This window comes from Homo sapiens, chromosome 15 (genome assembly GCF_000001405.40).
Source record: "Homo sapiens chromosome 15, GRCh38.p14 Primary Assembly".
In the NCBI taxonomy this organism is placed as follows: domain Eukaryota; kingdom Metazoa; phylum Chordata; class Mammalia; order Primates; family Hominidae; genus Homo; species Homo sapiens.
Window position 1 is genome coordinate 90,722,930 of NC_000015.10, and position 24,246 is coordinate 90,747,175.

Consider the following 24,246-nt stretch of genomic DNA (forward strand, 5'->3'; position numbering starts at 1 on the left):
TCCTGGGTTCAAGCAATTCTCCTGCCTCAGCCTCCCAAGTAGCTTGGATTACAGGCGCCTGCCACCATGGCTGGCTAATTTTTTCTATTTTTAGTAGAGACGGGGTTACATCATGTTGGCCAGGCTGGTCTTAAACTCCTGACCTCAGGTAATCTGCCTGCCTCGGCCTCCCAAAGTGCTGGGATTACAGGCATGAGCCACCGCTCCTGGCCCTATTGTCCCAATTTTTGTGATAATGCTTTTCTTGTCTTCATAGTTTGCCCTGATCTATACATCTATAAATAATATAGCTCAGTTTTGCCTGGTTTTGAGCTCTGTAAATGGGATAATACTATATGCATTCTACTGAGTCTTTCTAGTTTGCGTTATTATGTTTGTGAGATTCTTCCACGTTGTAGATATAGTTTTTCTTTTCTTTTTTTTTTTTTTTAATAGTAATTTTGGCTGGGCATGGTAGCTCACTTCTGTAATCCCAGCACTTTGGGAGGCTGAGGAAGCAAGATCTCTTGAGGCCAGGAGTTCAAGACCAGTCTGGCAACAATGGGAGACTTGTCTCTATAAAAAATTTAAAAAATTAGTTGAGCATGATGTCATGCACCTGTAGTTCCAGATTCTCCAGAGGCTGAGGCAGGAGGATCACTTGAGCTTAGGAGTCTGAGGCTGCAGTGAACTATGATTGTGCCACTGCGCTCTAGCCTGAGTGACAGAGCAAGACCTTGTCTCTAAAAAAAAATTTTTTTAAATTGTTTTTCTTAACCTCTTAACAGAGTTTTACATGTATAGTACCACACAGCCACAATGTTGTATGGCAGATCTCTAGAATGCGTTCATTTTGCATTACTGAAACTTTATACTTTTTGATTAACAACTCCCCATTTCCTGAAAGCCCCTACCCTGGCAACCACTGTGCCCCTCTTTGCTTCTATGAGTTTGCCTATTTTAGATACCTCGTTGCAGTGGAATCATGTAGTATTTGTCCTGTGACTGGCTTACTTCACTTTGCTTAATGGCTTCAAGGTTCATCTGTGTCATCTCATGTTGCAGGATTTTTTTTTTAATTTTTTATTATTTAACTTAATTGTATTGTATTTTATTATTTTTCAGACAGGGTCTTGCTCAGCTATCCAGGCTGGAGTGCAGTAGAATGATCGTTGCTCACTGCAGCCTCTAACTCCTGGGCTCAGATGATCCTTCTGCCTCAGCCTCCCGAGAAGGTGAGACTACAGGAGTGTACCACCATGCTTGGCTAACTTTTTTATTTTTTGTAGATACTGGGTCTTGCTTTGTTGCCTAGGCTGGTCTCAAACTCCTGGGCTCAAGCGATACTCCTGCCTTGGCCTCCCAAAGTGCTGGGATTACAAGCATGAGCCACTTCATCTAGTCAATTTTTTTCTTTTTAAAGGCTGAATATTTCATTCTATGCGTATACCACTGTAAAGAAAACTCCATTTCCTCTCTACTCTGTACCCATATAATAATTCCTCACTTCTGTCACCAAATGTGTGGTGTTTTTTTTCCCCACAATAGTTCAGTTCTTTAGCAGACACTGGGTGTCCTACATTTAGCTCAGGTCTGACACTAACTGCCAGGTGTTAGTGCAGACCCCAAATGTTAAGTCCTCCCTGTCCACCCGCATTCCAGACCCCCCACTTCAGACTACAAGCACAAGTGGTAAGTCCTCCACATTCAGTCACAGAACAGTTTCCTTACTAGATTATCAGCTTATTATAAACAACTCAGAAGCAGCCAGCTGGAAGAAATACACAGGACAAGGTATGTGGGAAGGGGTGTGGCACTTCCATGCCCTCTCCAGGCACACCAGCCTCCCACCATCTCTACATGTTCTCACCAACCTAGAAGCTCCCTGAGCCCTATCCTTCTGGGTTTTTACGTAGGCCTCCTTACCTAGACATGATTGATTAAATAATTGGCCATTGGTGATTAAGTCACTCCCCAGCCCCTTTGTCCTACCCAGAGGAAGTTTTGTTTTGTTTTTTGAGAAGGAGTCTCACTCTGTCGCCCAGGCTGGAGTGCAGTGGTATGATCTTGGCTCACTGCAACCTCTACCAGCTGGGTTCAAGAGATTCTCATGTCTCAGCCTACTGAATAGCTGGGGTTATAGGTGTGCACCATCATGCCTGGCTAATTTTTGTATTTTTAGTAGAGAGAGCGTTTTGCCATGTTGTCCAGGATGGTCTCAAACTCCTGACCTCAGGTGATCTGCCCGTCTCGGCCTCCCAAAGTGCTGGGATTACAGGCATAAGCCACCACGCCCGGCCCCCAGAGGAAGGTTTTATTGAATTAATTACAAACTGATAGGTCAAAGAGTGTGTATGTTTTACCTTACTATGTAATACTAAATTGTTTTCAAAAGTGCTTGCACTCCCACCAATGTATTAGATTTTCCGTTGCTCTGCATGCTGGCTAATACTTTATATTTACATTTTTATTTTCCAATCTGGTATATTCATGTATAGTAGTATTTTCTGGTAGCATTCATTTCTCTGATTATTAGTGAAGATGAGTACCCTGATGTGTTTATGGGCTATTTCCTCTTTTTTACAGTCCCTTTTTTTTTTTTTGAGGCGGAGTCTCACTCTGTTGCCCAGGCTGGAGTGCAGTGGCACCATCTCGGCTCACTGCAAGCTCCGCCTCCCGGGTTCACGCCATTCACCTGCCTCAGCCTCCCAAGTCCCAAGTAGCTGGGACTACAGGCGCCCGCCACCATGCCCGGCTAATTTTTTTTTTTTTTTGGATTGTTTTAGTAGAGACGGGGTTTCACTGTGTTAGCCAGGGTGGTCTCAATCTCCTGACCTCGTGATCCACCCGCCTCGGCCTCCCAAAGTGCTGGGATTACAGGCGTGAGCCACCGCGCCCAGCCTACAGTCCCTTTTTTTCTGTCTTCTCTATTAAGTTGTCTCTGTTTTATGTACATATAAACATATTTATATATAGTTATCTACATTTTTATATATACGTACATACACATTTACATAGGTGTAGCAGATATCTTCTACTTTGGCTTTTTAAGTGGATTTAACATAATTTTAGTCAATGACTTTTTTTATTTTTACATTTCTTTAAAGTGACATAATTGTACCCCAACAATTTATGGGGTACATAGTGATATTTTGATACATATACTGTATAATGATCAGATCAGGGTAATTAGCATATCTATCATCTTAAAACATTTATCATTTCTTTGTGTTGGGAGCATTCAATATCCTCCTTCTAGCTATTTGAAACTGTATAGTACATTATTGTTAACTGTAGTCATCCTGTAGTGCTACAGAACACCAGAACTTATTCTTCCCATCTAGCTGTAATTTTATATTCTTTTCTTTCCTTTTTTTGAGATGAAGTTTCACTCTTGTTGCCCAGGCTGGAGTGCAATGGCACAATCTTGGCTCACTGCAACCTCTGCCTCCTGGGTTCAAGCAATTCTCCTGCCTCAGCCTCCCAAGTAGCTAGGATTACAGGCATGCGCCACCATGCCTGGCTAATTTTGCATTTTTAGTAGAGACGGGGTTTCTCCATGTTGGTCAGGCTGATCTCAAACTCCTGACCTCAGGTGATCCACCCACCTCGGCCTCCCAAAGTGCTGGGATTACAGGCATGAGCCACCACACCCAGCCAATTTTGTATTCTTTAACAAATCTGCCCCTACCCTTCCCAGCCTCCAGTGTCCTCTGTTCTAGATTTTACTTCTATGAGAGCAACGATTTTTAGGTTCCACATATGAGTGAGAACATATGGTGTTTAACTTTCTGTTCTTTATTCCACTTAACACAATGTCCTCAGGTTCCATGTTGCTGTGAATAACAGGATTTTATTCTTTTTTATGGCTGAATAGTATTCTGTTGTATAAATGTACTATAATTTTTTTATTCATTCATCGCTTGTTGAACACCTTGGTTGATTCCGTATCTTGGCTATTGTGAATAGTGCTGCAGTAAGCATGGGGGTGCAGATGTCTCTTTGATATACTGACATCTTTTCCTTTGGATAAGTGTTCAGTAGTGGGTTTGCTGAATCATATGGTAGGTCTATTTGTAGTTATTTGAGGAACTTCCATACTGTTCTCCATAGTGGCTGTACTAGTTTATATTCTCACCATCAGTGGAAGTGTAAGAGTTCTCTTTTCTCTGCATCCTCACCAGCATTTGTTATTTTCTGTCTTTTTGATAATAGCTTTCTTAACTGGGGTAGGATGATACTTCATTGTGTTTTTGTTTTTGTTTTTTTAATTTTTAAAATTTTTTGTAGAGACGGAGTCTTGCTGTGTTGCCCAAGCTGGTCCTGAACTCCTAGCCTCAAGCAATCCTCCCGCCTCAGCCTCCTAAAGTGCTAGGATTCAAGGCATGAGCCACTGTGCCTGGCCCTAATTGTGGTTTTGATTTGCACTATTTTTTTTAACATCTTTTATTGTGAATTATTGTATGTTATATTTCATAGATATAACTTGTACGTGAATGAGCTAATATAGTAGGCCTGAAACTGTTACCTTCAGAAAAGCCTGCTTGCAAAATTGGTCCCTGGCTGTGTCTGAGAACTTGGCTTTTGAAACCTTTCCTACACTGATCAGGTTGTTTTACTAATACCTGTTTTCCTTCTGAGAGTCTGAAATTTTGGTGGGAGGAAGGTGCCTAAGTGACCAGCCCTCAATAAAACCCCTAGATTCAGAGTCTCTAACCAGCTTCTTTTGGGCAGAAACATTGCACACACATAGCTGCATTTTCACTGAGAGAACATGCACTTTCTCAGGGGTTAGAGAGCATTGGAAGCCTGCACGTGAATTCCTACAGACACTACCTGATGTGTTTTTTTTTCCCTTGCTGATCTGGTTGTGTATCCTTAAAGTGTTGATGATATAATAAATGTTAGCTGTGAGTACAACTGTACACTGAGTCCCATGAGTTCTTCCAGCAAAATATTGAACTTAGCTGTTAAGTTCCTCCAGAAAAAAAAAAAGCTGGAATTTTGATTAGAAATGCATCAAGTTATAGATGAATTTGAGGAGAATTAGCATCTCCATATCGTCTTCCAATGTGAATGTGGTTCATATGATTGTTTCCTCCCTCCTTGACTTCTCTTAACGACTTTCAATTTTCTTTTCTTTTTTTGAGACAGGGTCTTGCTCTCTCACCCAGGCTAGAGCAAGTGGTGCAATCACAGCTTACTGCAGCCTCAACCTCCTGGGCTCAGGTGATCCTCCCACCTCAGCCTCCTAAGTAGCTGGGACCATAGGCACATGCCACCATGACCAACAAATATTTGTATTTTTGTAGAGACAGGGTTTTGCTGTGTTGCCCAGGCTGCTCTCAAACTCCTGGGCTCAAGTGATCTGCCCACCTTGGCCTCCCAAAGTGCTGGGATTATAGGCATGAGCCACTGTGCCCAGCCCAATTTTCTGAATAGATATCAAGGACATAATTTGTTAGATGTATTTTTAGGTATATATTATTTTCTTTAAATTTTTTTTGAGACAGGGTCTCACTCTGTCACCCAGACTGAAGTGCAGTGGCGTGATCTCAGCTCACCGCAACCACCGCCTTCCAGGCTCAAGCAATATTCCTGCCTCAGCCTCCCGGGTAGCTGGGATTATAGGCACGTGCCACTACTGCCACCACGTTCAGCTAATTTTTATATATTTAGTAGAGACGGGGTTTCACCATGTTGGCCAGGCTGGTCTCGAACTCCTGACCTCAAATGATCCACCCACCTTGGCCTCCCAAAGTGCTGAGATTACAGGCATGAGCCACTGCACCCGGCCGGGTATTTAAATTTTTGATGTCATCTTAAAAAGTTTTCTGACATTTTATTTTTTGTTTATTGATGATATAGAAAAACAATTTATTTTTGTATATTGACCTTGTCTCCAGCAGTCTTCCTAAACACACTGTCTTAGTTTTCTATAGCTGCTGTAATAAATTACCATAAACTTAGTGGCTTAAAACAACATAGAGGCCGGGAACATTGGCTCATGCCTGTAATCTCAGCAGTTTGGGAGGCCAAGGTGGGAGTATCGCGGGAGCCCAGAAATTCGAGACCAGTCTGGGCAACACGGTGAGTCCCTGTCTCTGTTTAAAAATAACAATAACACACGGTAGCTCACACCTGTAATCCCAGCACTTTGAGAGGCCGAGGCGGGCAGGTCACCTGAGGTCGGGAGTTTGAGACTAGCCTGGCCAACGTGGCGAAACTCCATCTCTACTAAAAATACAAAAATTAGCCAGGCATGGTGGTACGCGCTTGTAATCCCAGCTACTCAGGAGGCTGAGGTAGGAGAATTGCTTGAGCCCAGGAGACAGAGGTTGCAGTTTGCCGAGATCGCGCCACTGTACTCCAGCCTGGGCAACAAGAGAGAAACTCAGTTTCAAAATAAATAAATAAAATAAATAAAAACAACAACAACATAGATTTATTATCTTATAGTTCTGTAGTTCAGAAGTCTGAATGGGTTTCATTGGGCTAAAGTCAAGGTGTTGGCAGGCTGAGTTCCCTTCTGGAGGCTCAAGGGCAGAATCCATTTCCTTCCCCTTTTCAGCTTTTAGAGACTATTCGTATTCCTTGACTCTTGGCTTTCCTCCTCCATTATCAAAGCCAGCAACTTTGAGTCCTCCTGAAGTTGCCATCTTTCTGGTCTGTCATCTTATTTCCTCTTCCACTTAAAAAGACACTTGTGATTGCATTGGGTCCATCTGGTTAGTCCAGGATAATCTTCCTATTTTAAGGTCAGCTTATTAGCAGTCTTAATTCCGTATGACAGTAATTCACCTTTGTCATGTAACCAAGCATATTCACAACATCCAAGGATCAGGATATAGACATCTTTGGATGGGTATGGGAGATGGGGATAGTGGTGGTGGTCACATTATTTTGCCTCCTGCATTCACTTAAGATTTTTATTTTTATTTTTATTTTTATTTTTGAGACGAAGTCTCGCTCTATCGCCCAGGCTGGAGTGCAGTGGCGTGATCTCGGCTCACTGCAACCTCCGCCTCCCGGGTTCAAGCGATTCTCCTGCCTCAACCTCCCAAGTAGCTGGGATTACAGGTACGCGCCACCATGACCACCTAATTTTTTTCTTATTTTTTATTTTTAGTAGAGACAGGGTTTCACTATGTTGGCCAGGCTGATCTCGAACTCCTGACCTCGTGATCCACCCACCTCGGCCTCCCAAAGTGCTGGGATTACAGGCTTGAGCCACTGCATCCAGCCAAGAATTTTAATAATTTAATCTGAAGATTCTTTTAGATGTTCCACACACAAAATTATAGCCTTTGTGAATATTAATGATTTTACATCTTTCCAGTTAACACGCCTTTTATTTATTGTTCATGATCTACTGCTCTGGCTTGGACTTCCAGTATATATCTGATAAAAGTATTGATAGTGGGCATTCTGGAATTGTTCCTGATCTAAAAAGAAAAGTTTCCTAAACTTCACCTTACTGTATTCTCTCTGTCAGGTTATAGAAGTTCCTTTCTATTCCTGTTTGATAAGAGTTGTGTTTTTTTTTGTTGTTTATTTTTGAGGTGGAGTCTTGCTCTGCCACCCAGGCTGGAGTGCAGTGGCGCAATCTTGGCCCACTGCAACTTCCGCCTCCCGGTTCAAGTGATTCTCCTGTCTCAGCCTCCCAAGTAGCTGAGACTAGAGGCTGCGTCACTGCGCCCAGCTAATTTTTGTATTTTAGGTAGAGACAGGGTTTCACCATATTGGCCAGACTGGTCTCGAACTCCTGACCTTGTGATCTGCCCGTCTCAGCCTCCCAAAGTGCTGGGATTACAGGTATGAGCCACCATGCCCGGCGTGATAAGAGTTTTCATTATGAATGGATTTCACTGTGAATGGATGTTTGATTTTATCATATGCTTATTCTAGAAGTCTTGAGACGATATGGTTGTTCAGCTTTAATGTTGTGGTGAATTATATTAATTGATTTTTAAATGTTGAACCACTTCTGAGTCATTTTTTAGACAACACAACTTGGTCTCGGTATTTTTTATTTTATTTATTTATTTATCCTTTTAGACAGGGTCTCACTCTGTTACCCAGGCTGGAGTGCAGTGGTGTGACTTCAGCTCACTGCAGCCTTGATCTCCCAAGTCATCCTCCCATCTCAGCTTCCCAAGTAGCTGGGACTATAGGCAAGTGTCACCATGCCCAGTTAATTTTTATAAATTTTTGTGGAGATGAGATTTAATCACACTGCCCAGGCTGGTCTCAATCCTGGGCTCAAGCAATCCTCCTGCCTTGGCCTCCAAAAGCGCTGGGATTATAGGTGTGAGTCATCATGCCCGTGGCTCTTGGTGTATTTTATACATGGCTAGATTTACTTTGCTAACATATTGTTTGGGACTTTTGCATCTACATTTATGAAAAAGAATTAGCCTGGAGTTTTTCACTGAGGAGTTGCCCTTACAGGACTTAGTATCAGAGTTATGCTAGCCTCACAGAATGAGCTGGGGAGTTGGTTCTTTCTATATTTTGGAATCGTTTATGTAAAACTGGAATATTTTACTGCCATAAGTGCTTAGAAGAACTCACCTGCGCCACTCTGGTCTTGATGCTATCTTTGTGGGTAGATTTTTGACCATCAATAGGACTTCTTTAATGGTTATAAGGCTATTAGGTTTTCTGTTTATTTTTGAGTGAGTTTTGATAAGTTAATTTTTAAGGAATGTGTCCATCTCATCTAAATTTTAAAATTTATTGATGCAAAGTTGTTCATAACAGCCTAATGTTATCTTTTAATGTCTATAGCATATGTAATTAAATCTCGTCTTTCAATCTCTTCTTTTTTGTCTTTTTACAGAACAAACTTGGTTTATTGATCCTCTCTATTATATATCTATTATTTTTTACTCTTAAAAATTTTTTTAAAAATCTATTTATTTATTTATTTTGAGACCGGTTTATGAAACTGGCTAATTTTTGTATTTTTGGTAGAGATGAGGTTTCACCATGTTGCCAAGGCTGGTCTTGAACTCCTGGCCTCAAGTGATCCACCTGCCTTGGCTTCCCAAAGTGCTGGGATTACAGGCATGAGCCAATGCGTCTGACCCTCTTCTCTTTAAAACTGCCTCCCTTCTATTTTCATCAGGCTTATTTTTTCAGTTTCTTTTCTAATAATTAGGGTCATCCATTTTCTTGTAACTACTTCTTTAGTTGCATATTAGATATTTTTATGTGTAGATTTCCATTATTCAGTTTAAAGTATATTTGAATACTCACTATGATATCTTACTTGACTGATGGCTTATTCACAAGTATATTTCTTGATTTTCAATACAAAGGGATTTTCTAGATCTCATTTTCTTTATTTTGAAATTTTAAAAATCTACAGAAAAGAAAACCTACAGAAAAGTTGAAGAATTAGTGCAGTATATCATCTTCCCAAGTAAACAATTTACATTCATAAAAATAGTTCATATATTAGGTAACAAGGAAAACATTAGTAATTTCATAAAGTAGAAATATTATAATTCTGATCACCATGCAACAAAACTAGAAATTAAAAATGAAATTTATAAAAAAGCAGAAAGGCCCTTCCATCTGGAAAATTGAAAACAACTATTGGATGTAAGGAAAACAGAAACTGAAATAAAGGATTTCTGAAAATTAACGAAATGAAAACACAGCATATCAGATTCTTAAAAAAAAAAAAAAGGTAAGGCACTAGTCAGGGGAAAATTTATAATCTTCAGTACATATTATAAATGAAGAAAGGGAAATAATGAAATAAATTCCAAACTTAGAAAGTTAGGAAAAGAAAAACAAGTAAATCGAAAGCACAAGAGAATAAATAATAAAGATAAAAAGAGAAATTAGTAAGAGAACAGGAAAACATCTGATTCAAAAATTAAGATTTTTATCTTGGCTGGGCGCAGTGGCTCATGCCAGTAATCCCAGCACTTTGGGAGGCCGAAGCAGGCAGATCACGAGGTCAGGAGATCAAGACTATCCTGTCCAACACGGTGAAACCCCGTCTCTACTAAATACAAAAACTTAGCCAGGCGTGGTGGCATGCACCTGTAATCCCAGCTACTCGGGATGCTGAGGCAGGAGAATTGCTTGAACCTGGAAGGCAGAGTTTGCAGTGAGCCGAGATCGTGCCACTGCACTGCAGCCTGGGTGACAGAGTGAGACTATGTCTCAAAAAAATTAAAAAAAAAAGATGTGTATCTTGAATTGTTTAATGAAGCAAATAAATTAGCCTAATAGAAATTACAAATATACAGAATAAGAAATGGTAAGTGGTAAGTAACCACTGACACAGGATAGTTTTTATAACAGGATTAATTTATGTACCTTTACGTAAACAAATTTGAAAACTAAAATGAAATGGATAATTATGTGTGAAAATCTAGTTTACCAAAATTGACTCAAGTAGATGTTGGAAGTTAAATAGCTCAATTTCCATTGAATAAGTTTTTAAAGTTATGAAATAACTGTCTCACTGAAAAATAAAAAACATGAGGTCCAAATGGTTTAACAGGAAAATTCTACTACATTTATGGAGTCCAAATAATCCTAATGCTAAATAAATTGTTTTAGAACGTAGAAAAGAAGGAAAACTTCCAAATTCTTTATTTTCCAAATGGCTTGGTATTGTAAATGCTGATTTAGTTGTCTGTCTCCAGTTGTTGAAGGGCTGAAGTGAAATAAAGTAAAACATCTTAAAACACTTTTTAGTTCTTAGACCCTCTTTTTTAAAGTAGCTTTATTGATATAGACTGCACGTATTTAAAGTATACAATTTGTTCAGTTTTGACATACACACATCATCACCATAATTCAGTTAATGAACATATCCATCACTCTCAAAAGTTTCCTCATCCCCCTTAATTCTGCCTTCTTGCTCTCTTCTTGCCGGTCAACCACTTATCTGGTTTCTGTCACTGTAGAATAATTAGCATGTTCTAGGACTTTTAATAAATGTTATAATACAGTGTGTATTCTTTTGTATCTCACTTCTTTTACACAGCATAATTATTTTATATCGGTTTTTATGAAGCAAGTATAAAACAAATATTTAACATAAAAATTAAAGGTAGCACAAAGAAAATTACAGATGAATATTATGTATAAAAATTATGTAAAAGTTCTAAATAAAATACTACCAAACAGAACAGAATCCAGCACTCTATTACAAAACTATTAGCTCATCACCAAGATGTATACCAGGAATGCAAAGATGGTTTAACATTAGAATCATCAATGTAATTCACCATATTAATTAACCTAAGGAGAACAGTCATATATTTACTTTTATATATGCTGAAAAAGCCTTTGACAAGATTCAACACCAATATATAGTAAAAACTCTTAAGAAATTATATTGTAATCAATACTTCTTTTTTTTTTTTTGAGATGGAGTCTCACCCTGTCGCCCAGGCTGAAGTACAGTAGCATGACCTCAGCTCACTGCAACCTCCACCTCCCAGGTTCAAGCCATTCTCCTGCCTCAGCCTCCCAAGTCGCTGGGATTACAGGCGCCCACCACCACACCTGGCTAATTTTTGTATTTTTAGTAGAGATGCGGTTTCACCATCTTGGCCAGGCTGGTCTCAAAGTCCTGACCTCAGGTGATCTGCCCACCTCGGCCTCCCAAAATGCTGGGATTACAGATGTGAGCCACCATGCCTGGCCAATCAATACTTCTTAATGATGGTATTCTCTCTCTCTCTCTCTGTCTCTGTCTCTCACGCACACATACACACACACGCGCGCACGCACGCACACACACACACACACACGCAGAGAGAGAGAGAGAGAGAGAGAGAGAGAGAGAGAGACTTTATTCCTAAATCCTGTATTTTATCTAATAGGAAAATACTAGAGGCATTTTTACTAAGATTGAGAAAAATATAGAGATACTCACCAACTCCACTTGTATTTAACATTGTACTGGGGGCTTAGCCAATGCAGTTAGATAAATCAATTAGAGGCACAAGATTTGGAAAATAAAAAGTAATATTGTCCCTACTTGCAGGTGATATGGTAGTGTGTCTGGAATACTGCAGAAAATCAATAATGAAACTAACTAAACAGAAAAGGAATTTTATAAGAATATGCAAAAATCAGTAGTCTTCATATACACAACAAGTTTGAATATATAATGAAGGGTAAAATCCCATTTACAGCAACAAGAAAAAGAGAAAATATTTAGGAATTTAAAAACATGTAAAACCTAGGTGAAGAAATCTTTAAAACACTTCTGAATAACAAAAATAGCCTTAAACAAATGAAATCTTTTGTTCTAGGACAGGACAACAACATCATAAAAGTGCCTAAGTTAATATATATATATATATATATATATATATATATATATTTAAGTTAATACATATACCTAAGTTAATATATAAATTTAATGCAATCTCAATATAAATATCAACAGAGTTCTGGCACTAGACAAGTTGATTCTAAAGTTCATATAGAAAAATAAACATATAAGAATAGGAAAACAGAAGAGCTACAAAGAGAAAGTAGACTTCCAGATATTGTAACATGTTGCAAAGCTTCTATCATGATAATATTGTGGTATAGACCAATGGTATAGAATGGAAAGTCAATAATTAGTCTCCTAAACACATGAAGAATTTAGTGTATGATAAAGGTAGTTCTGAAATTATTAGGGCAGAGATGGACTCTTTATAAATAGTGCTGGGACAACTTGTTAGCCACTTGAAAAAACAAAATTATATCTATACTTTATATCAGACACAGGAATAAACTCCAAATGAACCAGAAATCTAATTTTTTTTAAATTACCTACTAGAAGAATACATAGATGAGTTTTCTGTAACCTGGATGTGGAGAAGGGCAATAAAAGAGGGGGAAAAATTGGCTACATTGAAAAGCAAATTCTTGATTACAAAAATGAAAAACACCATAAGCAAATTTAAAAGATAGATGAGAAACCAGGAAAAAAATCTGCAAAATACATTTTAAAGACCTACTATCCCTAGTCTAAATTGAGAGAAAAAAATACTAAAATTTGGTTAAAAAGGCAGAATACATGAGCAGATACAATTTTTTAAAAAGATTCAAAAACCATCCTTAAATATGTGAAGAAAATATTCAATTTCACCTAAACAGGAAGTGTAAATTTAAAGCTGCACTGAAATACCGTTTCTCACCTATCAGCTCTGCACTAATTAGAAAGCTTCACAAGAAGCCCCATTGGTGAGGCTGTGAGGAATGCAAACTTGTAAAACCTCCTTTGAGGGAGAAGTTGGCAATCCAGCAGACTACACATGCATTTGCCCTTTGACCCAGCCATTCCACTTGTAGAAATATTCCCTAAAGATACATTTTCTTTTCTTTCTTTCCTTTTTTTTTGAGACAGGGTCTTGCTTGTTGCCCAGGCTGAAGTGCAGTAGTGTGATCTTGGCTCACTGCAGCTCAAACTCCCAGGCTCAATTGATCCCACCTTGGCCTCTGGAGTAGCTGGGACCACAAGTGCATGCCACCACGCCTTACTAATTTAAAAATTTTTTTTATAGAGACGGAGTCTCACCATGTTGCCCAGGCTGGTCTTGAACTCCTGGACTCAAGCAATCCTGTCTCTGCCTCCCAAATTGCTGGGATGACAGGTGTGAGCCACCGTGCCCGGCCTTACGTTTTCAACAGTAGGGAAATATGAATGCACAAAGTTATTTGTTGCAGCATTATTTGTAATTGTAAAATATCAGGGAATACCTTAAATGTCCATACAGGAAATTTGTTGGTAAATATCTACACAATGGAGTACTGTACAGCTGTAAAGAAGAATGAGGAAAATCTTTGCAAACGGGTGTAGAGTGATTTCTAACATGAATGGAAAGCGTACATACAGTGTGCTATTTTTTATGTAAGAAAGAAGGGAAAATATGAGACTCTAATGTCTGCTTATTTTGCAAAAAGAAAAACAGGAAAGATAAATCAGAAATTATTGAAATTGATAACCCACAGGAAGTAGATGGCAAAGGATGGAGAGGGAAGAACACTTCTCTGTGGGGAAAAACAGTCTTTTATGTAGTTTTAACTTTTAGAACTATGTAAATGTTTTATATATTCAAAAATCAAATCCACAAGAACAGTACAAACACAAACTAATCTAATTCAAATGATGAATGTAATCACCCTGAAGGTGAGGTGGGACTGACCAATCAAGTAACTTTTGAATATAGTACTTTAATTATGTACCCTTAATCTGAAGAAAGAAATGCAACTGAATTTTGAACTCTTCTTAGTAGGTTTTTTTTTTTTAGTGACAGGAGTGTAGCAATTTGAAATTACTTCCTATAGTTTCAGATTGAATAAATGAATAAATATATGATGGTTTTTTCTATGAATTTTAAGATAGATGGATAGATCAATGGATGTATAGCTGTAGATACAGAAATAGATAGAAGTGTTTATATTTCCTAGATCTGTCTACTAAAAGGGCCTAGGAGCAATGATATGCAAGTAGCAGATCATATCTAATGGCCAGGTCTTAGATTTTAAAGATTTTTCCTCATTAAAATAAATGAAGGCTGTTTGAGGAAATGGTGATTCTATGGCTGAAGCAGGAAAAGTAAATGAAGACCATGAATGTTGTGCCAGGTAATAAGAAAGTGCCTGATGGGAACACTTTAAAGGACAGAGGAACCAATGGATTAAAGAAGAAAACAAGAGACATTAGAGTATATCTTGAGACAATGAAAACGAAAACACAACATGCCAAAACTCATGGAATACAGTGAAAGCAGTACTAGAAAGGAAATTTATAGCTACAAATGCTTACATTAAAAAAGAAAGATCTGAAATCAACAATTTAACTTCACACTTAAAGGAACAGTAAAAAGAACAAACCAAACCCAAAGCTACAGAAACAAGGAAATAATAAATATTAGGGCAGAGATAAACAAAACAGGGACTAGAAAAGCAGTAGAGAAATTGACAAAACAGAATTGATTCTTTGAAATGATAAAAAAATTGATAAAACTTTAGCCAGATGGACTAAGAAAAAATAAGACAAATTACTAAAATCAGAAGTGAACAAGGGGACATTATAACTGATTTACAGAAGTAAAAAGATTTATAAGAGAATATTGTGAGCAAATGTATGCCAACAAATTTGATAACATAAATGAAATGGATAAATTCCTCAAAACACATAACCACCAAGACAGAATCATGAAGAAACAGAAAATCTGAACAGACCTATAACTAGTAAGGAGATTGAGTTAGTAATCAGGTATCACCCAACAAAGAAAAGCTCAGGGCCAGATGGCCTCACTGGTCATTTCTAACCAATATTTAAAGAAGAATTAAGTCCAATTTTCCTCAAGCTCTTCCAATTAATGATATATTTGATAAAGGGTTAATACCCAGGATATATAAAGAACTCCTCAGCACTTTGGGAGGCTGCCGGGACGGGAGAATTTCTTGAGCCTAGGAGTTGGAGACCAGCCTAGGCAACATGGTGAAACCCTGGCTCTACAAAAAATTTAAAAATTTGCCAGGTGTGATGGTACTTTGCTGTGGTCCCAGCTACTCCGTAGGCTGAGGTGGGAGGACCACTTGAGCCCGGGAGGTCGAGGCAGCCGTGAGCTGTTGCACTCCAGCCTGGGTGACAGAGTGAAACCCTGTTTCAAAAAACAAAACAAAACAAAACAAAACAAAACAAAACAAAAACTCATACAGCTCAACAAATAACCCATTTAGAAAATAGAGAAAGGACTCGAATAGACACTTCACCAAAGAAGATATACAAATGGCCAATAAGCAAATGAAAAGATGCCTATTATCACTAATCATTAGAGAAAGGCAAATCAAAACCAGGAGATAAGACCTCACACCTGTTAGAATGCCTGTTATAAAACAAAACAACAACCAGAAAATAACAAGTGTTGCTGAGGATGTGGAGAAATTAGGATGTGGAAAAATGGGAAGCCCTGTGCATTATTTATAGCAATGTGAAATGGTGCAACCACTGTGGAGAACAGTGTGGTGGTTCCTTAAAAATTAAACATAAATTACCATATGATTCAGCAATTCTCAAAAAGATATTTGTACACCCATGTTCATAACAGCATTATTCACAATAGCCAAAAGGTGGAAGCAACCCTAACGTCCTTGAATGGATAAGAAAATGTGGTATGTATCTACAGTTAGATATTATTCAGCCTTAAAAAGGAAGGAGCGGCCAGGCGCGGTGGCTCACACTTGTAATCCCAGCCCTTTGGGAGGCTGAGACAGGCAGATCACAAGGTCACAGGTTCAAGACCAGCCTGGCCAACATGGTGAAACCCCGTCTCTACTAAAAATACAAAACAGAAAAATTAGCTGGGCTTGATGGCACGCACCTGTAATCCCAGCTACTCAGGAGGCTCGGGCAGGAGAATCACTTGAACCCGGGAGGCAGAGGTTGCAGTGAGCTGAGATTGCGCCACTGCACCCCAGCCTGGGCAACAGAGCAAGACTCCATCTCAAAAAATATTAATAATAATAAAGGAAGGAGCCTGGCATGGTGACTCATACCTGTAATCCCAGCTACTCCGGAGGCAGAGGTGGGAGGATCATTAGAGCTCAGGAGATTGAGGCTGCAGCGAGCTCTGCACACAGGAAATTCTGACACATGTCTCACAACATAGATAAAGCTTGAGAACACTGTGCTGAGTGAAATAAGCCAGTCCCGAAAAGGCAAATACTGTATGATTCCACTTACAGTGTGAATACATTATGATTCCCATACTGTATGAGTCTGCTGATGACAAACTATTGTTTTTTTGATAATCTGGAAGTGTCTCTATTTCTTGTGGCATTTTAAATAACAGCTGTATTGTTTTTAAATTATTATTTGTTTATTTTTTTGAGACAGGGTCTTGCTCTGTTGCCCAGGTTAGAGTGCAGTGGTGCAATCACAGCTCACTGCAGCCTCGACTTCCTGGTTGAGCAGTCCTCCCACCTCAGCTTCCCAAGTAGCTGGGACAACAGGCATGCACCATCATTCCTGGCTAATCTTTTGTATTTTTTGTAGAGATGGGGTTTCACCATATTGCCCAGGCTGGTCTCCAACTCCTGGGCTCAAGCGATCCCCCCGCCTCAGCCTTCCAAAGGGCTGGGATTACAGGCATGAGCTACTGTGTCTGGCCTGAATGACAGGTCTATTGAAATACATTACACATATAAAATTCACCCATTAAACTGTACAATCCAATGGCTTTGAGTATATTCACAGTTATGCAACCATCACCGCAATCAATGTTGGAACATTTTCATCAGCCCACAGAGAAATTTGCATACCCCTTGCCATCATCCCCAAATCCTCTCATCTTTCCCAACCCTAGGCAATCAGTAGTCTACACTGTATCCATGGATATGTCTATTCTTATACATTTCATATAAATGGAATCATACACTAGTTCATCTTTTGTGGCTGGATTCTTTCACTTAACATAATGGTTTCAAGGCTCGTCATTACTGTAGCATTTATCAGTACTATATTTTTTTGTGTGGCCAAATAACATTTTGTTGAATGGATATACACATTTTATTTATCCATTCATCACTTGATGGACATTTGAGTGGTTTCTGAATTTGGCTATTGTGAATAATGCTCCTGTGAACAATTTGTGTACAAGTATTTATTTTGAGTACCCATTTTTCACTCTTTCGCATATATAGCTAGGAGTGAAATTGCTGGGTTACATGGTGATATGGTTTGCCTGTGTCCCCATTGAAATCTCATCTTGAACTGTGGCTCCCATAATCCCCATGTGTCATGGGAGGGACCTCGTGGGAGGTAATTGAATCATGGGTTTTTCCCATGCTGTTCTTGTGAGAGTGAATAAGTCTCACGAGAGCTGATGGTTTTATAAAAGGCAGTTCCCCTGCACACACTTTCTTGCCTGCCACCATATAAGATGTGCCTTTGCCCCTCCTTTGCCTTCTGCCATGATTGTGAGGCCTCCCCAGCCATGTGGAACTGAGTCCATTAAACCTCTTTTTCTTTATAAATTACCCACTCTCAGGTGTTTCTTCATAGCAGTATGAAAATGGACTAGAACACGTGGTGACTATGTTTCGTTTTTTGAGGTACTGCTTGACTGTTTTCCAAAGTGGCTGTGCCATTTTAGAGTCCTACCAGCAGTGTATGAGGGTTCTGATTTCCCCACATTGTTGCCAACACTTATCTGTTGCTTTTATTATAGCTACTTTTTAAAAATAACAGCTTTATTGAGATATAATTCATATACCATGAAATTCACCTTTAAAAACCTAGTGTACAATTCACTGCCCTTGATTTGTGAAAGATATTTTTTCTGGGAAAAGAATTCTGGGTTAATTTCTATCAGCACATCGAAGATATCATTCCACTGTCTTTTGATTTTCATTTTTGCTAAAGAGAAATCAATTTTTTGTCCATATGGTACACTGATATATTTGGGTGTGGATTTCTTTTTATCTCTGCTTGGAATTTTTTGGCTTTCTCAAATCTGAAGGTTAGTGTCTTTAATTAGTCCTGGAAAAGTCCCAGCTGTTATCTTTTCAAATATTAATTCTTCCCTATTTTCTCTTCTTTCTGGAACTCTGGCTAGATTTATGTTAGACTTTCTACTCTGTCTTCCATGTCTCCTAACTTCTCATATTTTCCATCTGTTTTCTCTATCTCTCTGTGTGTGCATCTATTAAGTCAAAAACTATGAAGGGTCTGAGATTTTACCCTACATTTATAGCTATATTTATCTTTAGCCACTTTTCTGAAGTTCTAATTATCTATTGTTATGACTGATTTTCTTTGGGTTGTATTGGTATATTATCAAGTTGTCTACATATAATGATAATCTCATCTCTTCTAGTATTTCCTTTTTCGAATATTTTTGCATTGGCAAGAGCATCCAATATGGGAGTGAAAATGAGAGAACAATATTGTTTTTGCTGTTGTTTTTAATGGATTCACCCCTAGTGTAAAATATATGGTATTTGTTGGTTCTAGATTTTAAACACTTGTAATTTTGTGTTTTAATGTGTTTGTTAGACATGGTTTGAGTTTTATTAGGTGCCTTTTCAAAAATGCATTGATAATACATACTGTGTGATTCTATATATATGAATCAAGAAGTTTAAGAAACCATGAACGAAGAGAACATATGACATAAAATTCTGTCAAAAATCTCTCTTTGTCTAGAAATTGTGTTTGATGTTTAATTTTATCAGAGAACAGAAAGTTGCTTGCCCCAGTGCCCCAGTTAAGGTAAAGCTGAGGTTCATAAATACCTCAACTTAAAAAAATACAAAAAGTAGATTTTTTGATCGTTCTTAGTTAGGCTCACCACCTTTGCCCCAGGGAAAGTAACTCCTCCCCTTTGAACAGTCACTGAGTGAGGCTTACAGAGCGACGCTCTGTTTTTCAGGAACCACCCCCTAAAATCTCCACTTTTAGCAGAAGACTGGAAACAGAAACATCTAAATGTTACTTGGCACTGAATGTCTTGGAGTAGTCTTTTTGGCAGTCTATCCCTTGATAGACTGAAATAGCCATCTTTGACAACAAAATGAATAAAAAGTAAGGTTTGACCTAGTCTTAATTTTGATAGATCCCCAACCAGTAACTTTAGTGTCACTTATTTCAAAGAAAAGGCACTCTTTTTTTCTGCTGTGTTTTTCTCCATCCCATGTCTCTCTCTCTCTCTCTTTTTTTTTTAAAGGTTTATTGTGTTTACTTTTATTCTTTTTTTATTTTTGAGACAGGGTCTCTGTTGCCCAGGCTGGAGTGCAGTGGGGTGATCATGGCTCACTGAAACCTCGACCTCCCGGGCTCAAATGATCCTTCCCACCTCAGCCTCCTGAGTAACTGGGACTACAGGCATGTGCCACCTCACTCAGCTAATTTTTGTGTTTTTTTGTAGAGACAGGTCGTACTTTGTTGCCCAGGCTGCTCTGCAGCTCCTGGGCTCAAGCGATCCTCCCGCTTTGGCTTCCCAAAGTGCTAGTATTACAAGTGTGAGCCGCCGTGCCCAGCCTATTTGAAAAATTCTTAATAGCCAGTTTTAAAGGTAATGCTTGAAGCTTACATTTCCTGTGACTTTTTTTTTTTTTTTTTTTAAACACAGGGTCTCACTGTCACCCCAGCTGGAGCAGTGGCACAGAATTGCTCACTGCAGCCTCGAACTCCTGGGCTCAAGGGATACTCCCACCTCAGCCTCCCTGAGTAGTTGGGACTGTAGGTGTGTGCCACCATGCCTGGCTAAAGATGGGATCTCCCTGTGTTGCCCAGGCTAGTCTCAAACTCCTGGGCTCAAGCCATCCCCCTGCCTCAGCCTCCCAAAGTGCTGGGATTATAGGCGTGAGCCACCGCTCCTGGCCTGCTTATTTATATTCTTTTGTAATGGCATGATAACTTCTTTCATATATGTAGGAGAAAATTTTAATCATTTTCCAGATTGAACTTGTGATTCTTGTGGTCATTCTAATTCATAGGTTTATTTTTTTAGTTTCTGGTTGCTCATTGCACCCAGAAATTGTTCCTTTTTTTAATATTGTGAAACTTCACTAGCCTCAATTTATTTGTTTTCAGTTAATTTTTCTCCTTTATCACTGGTCTTTGTTATTGTGGATGAACAATTTTTTTTAAGAGATGGGGTCTCACAGTGTTGCCCAGGCTATAGTGCAGTGGCTGTTTACAGGTGTGATCATAGTGCACTACAGCCCTGAACTCCTGGGCTCATGCAATCCTCCTGCCTCAGCCTCCTGAGTAGCTGAGACTACAGGCATGTTGGTGAACAATTTTCTTTTTGTGTCCAACAATTGTATCGATATTTTGATGGAGTATGTACAGAAGAGACACCCTTATGGTTCTTAGTACTCACCAACTTCCTGAAAGCATTCCCACTGAGGATTTTGAGTAAGAAAATTATGTACTCATTACCATACTTCAGAATATGATTCTGGCTGGAGGGTGCTACCTCGTGAGGAATAACCAAAGAGCAGTGCATTTTAAAAGCAGGAAGAGGTCCCCTGGAGTTAAGGTTGACTGCATGCTAGCTGTGAATCCATAGTGTAATCACTACAGTTATAAAATAGTTAATCAAACAATTGTACTCCTGGGATGGCTAAGTAGACATATAAAACCATGCTGTGGAGTAATGTAGGAAATCTCTTATTAAAATATCATGGCTAGTTTTGATCCAAAAATAAGTAAGTTATGGAAGGAATGTGGGAAAAGGGTAAGTAATGATGCCATAGACCACTTTGTTCTGCTTAGTGTCATTAAGACTGAAGATCTGTGTACCTCTGCCTCCTTGTCAGTAGTCTACTTTGTTGATGTTGAAATTCTTAGAGGGCAATAGTCTGACTTCACTCTTTATCACTTCGTATTTATTCATGTGGGAAAGACTCCCACATTGTACAGGACCTTGAAGAGGGGACGCCTCAACAAAAGATCAAGGCTTTTATTTTTTATTTATTTATTTATTTTTTGAGACAGAGTCTAGCTCTGTCACCAGGCTGGAGTGCAGTGGCACAATCTCGGTTCACTGCAACCTCTGCCTCCCGGGTTCAAGCAATTATCCTGCCTCAGCTTCCCAAGTAACTGGGATTACAGGCACATGCCACCATGCCCAGCTAATTTTGTATTTTTAGTAGAGACAGGGATTCACCATATTGGCCAGGTTGGTCTTGATCTCCTGACCTCATGATCCGCCCACCTCGGCCTTCCAAAGTGCTGGGATTACAGGCGTGAGCCACCGTGCCCAGCCAAGATCAATACTTTTAAACTGGATTCCAAATGGTGAAGTGCCCTAGGAAATGCAGAGATTAAGGTCTTAAAATATTCTCCATTAAAAAGAATCAGGGAGGCTGGGCGCGGTGGCTCACACCTGCAATCCCAGCACTTTGGGAGGCGGAGGCAGGAGGATCCCTTGAGCACAGGAGTTCGAGGCCAGCCTGGGAAACATGGTGAAACCCCATCTCTACCAAAAATACAAAAAAATTAGTGGGGCATGGTGGTGTGCACCTGTGGTCCAGCTGTGTGGGAGGGTGAGGTGGGAGGAACACTTGAGCTGGGGAGGCGGAGGCTGCAGTGAGTCACCACTGCACTCCAGCCTGGGCAACAAAGTGAGACCCTGTCTCAAAAAAGAAAAAGAAAACAAGAATTAGGGATGCTTGACGAAATGGCCGATTCCAAATCTGGTGCAAAAAAATGCATAAGGTATGCCTGGAACATCTTTTGAGAGGAAAGAAGCTCTCAATGACTCATAAGGTTAAGTCATAAGGACTGAAGAGCCCGCCTGAAAAGACTCCCACTGGCCAAACATGAATCAATTTGAGAATCAATAAGGATGATCACTGTATTGGATTGAAACACACCTAATATGTTTAATCCATGAGTTCATAATGATACTGAAAAAAAATTCATCACTATTTGAAGGTGGTGAAAGAATGAATATCATTTTTTATTTATTATTGTTAATGTATGTAAGGGATACAAGTGTAGACTTCTTTTTTGTTGTTTTTTGAAACAGGGTCTTGCTCTGTTGCCCAGGCTGGAGTGCAGTGGCACAATCTCAGCTCACTGCAATATCTGCCTCCTAGGCTCAAGCAGTCCTCCCACCTCAGCCTCCTGAGTAGCAGGGACCACAGGCCCGCACCACCATGCCAGGCTAATTTTTTTATAGTTCTTTAGAGACAGGGTTTTGCCATGTTGCCCAGCCTGGTCTCAAACTCCTGGGCTCAAGCGATCCGCTCACCTCAGCCTCCTAAAGTGCTGGGTCTATGGGCATGAGCCACTGCTGCCAGCCACGTGAATATACTGTATAGTAGTGAAGTATGGGCTTTTAGTGTACTGCATCATTATTTTGAAACTTACGATAAAAGTCTTACAGCTGGCTACGCATGGCTCACACCTGTAATCCTAGCACTTTGGCAGGCTGAGGTGGGAGAATGACTTGAGCTCAGGAGTTCGAGACCAGCCTAGTCAACATGGTGAGACCCTGTCTTTACCAAACATTTAAAAATTAGCTGGGTTGTGGTAGTGTACACCTGTAGTCCCAGATAACTCAGGAAGCTGAGGTGGGAGGATCACTTGAGCCCAAGAGGTCGAGGCTGCAGTGAGCTGTGATTGAGCCAGTGTACTCCAGCCTGGGCAACAGATCAAGACCCTGTCTCAGAAAGAAAACAAACAAACAAAAAGTATTCCTGCTAATGAGTGAAAGAAGTAATAACAGAATCGAAATGTCACCATTTTGGAGGTGGACTTCCAAAATGGTGGAGTAAGGACCTCAGGGTGTATGTATAGCTGAAACAATATTGGATGAGTTGATAATTGTTGAATCTGGGTGATAGGTATGTAGGGATTCATTCCTTCCATCTACTTTTTTGGGGGTAATAATTAAGATATAATTCACATGCCAGTGTGAATTATTCAATGTTTATTAAATAACTAGCTATATTACCTAAAGCATGTTAAAGAGGGAAAAGAAGCAGAAATAATTCCTTCTGGAGAAAGTGGGACAAAAGCTGTATTATGATCATGCTTATAAACATGAAGATTTCTCAATTGGATGTAACTTAGTTTCTTCTAAATTCTGATTTTCACTGTTATCTAAAGTCAAGATGGTTGATAGATATGGGTTAATGAGTGGAACACGGCTTATGCGAAACTTCATATTTCTAGAAATATCATCTAGTGTTAACCCTGCCTCCTAAGATATATGCTATAAAATAAAAATAGATGTCTAGTAAAGGTAGGGAAAAGGGTTTATGGGGTTATAACTATCAGCTAAAGTGAGGATTTTTTTAACTATGCATGGATTACAGCTAGGATCTTCCTTTAGCCCCAGTAATTTTAAGGTGGTTTAAGCTGTTTGTTATCCTGGGCTATAGCTCAGCGTTACCACAGCTTGTTACACAGAGATATAAATGTGCTTGGTAAACGTATTCTTTCAGGTTGAAACTAGATGATTATGAAGCATAGTATCTTGCTGGTAAACCTTTGCTCTCATTGGTGGTGGTGTTCCTCCTTTCCCCAGTTCTGCCCTTGTGCAGAATTCAGTTATTCATTTGTTCTTTGGGCTTTCCGTGTGCTTTGATCATTTCCTCCCACCTCGCTCCCTTCCAGCTTTCATTTATCCTTCCAGGCCAGGTCCCATTTTTCTAAAAGCCCTTTCCTAATAATCCCCTCCCTAATGTCTTTTGTACTTATTTTAGCATTGTGGAGGAAGAGAGGGGGAACCTGGTTATTCTGTTATTCAAGTGAGCCTTCAG

General features: G+C 39.4%; 1 protein-coding gene across 5 annotated transcripts in view; it reads left to right on the forward strand.

The window, feature by feature from the left end:
• BLM (BLM RecQ like helicase) overlaps positions 1-24,246 on the forward strand; it is a 98,821-nt gene that overhangs the window by 5,584 nt on the left and 68,991 nt on the right. Inside the window, exon 2 of one of the 5 annotated variants that reach the window (NM_001287246.2) lies at positions 1,105-1,214. The exons of the other annotated variants lie outside the window; for them this stretch is intronic. The gene's annotated coding sequence lies outside the window, so the exon portion shown is untranslated. The remainder of the gene's footprint in view (positions 1-1,104; positions 1,215-24,246) is intronic. 5 annotated transcript variants of the gene reach the window in all.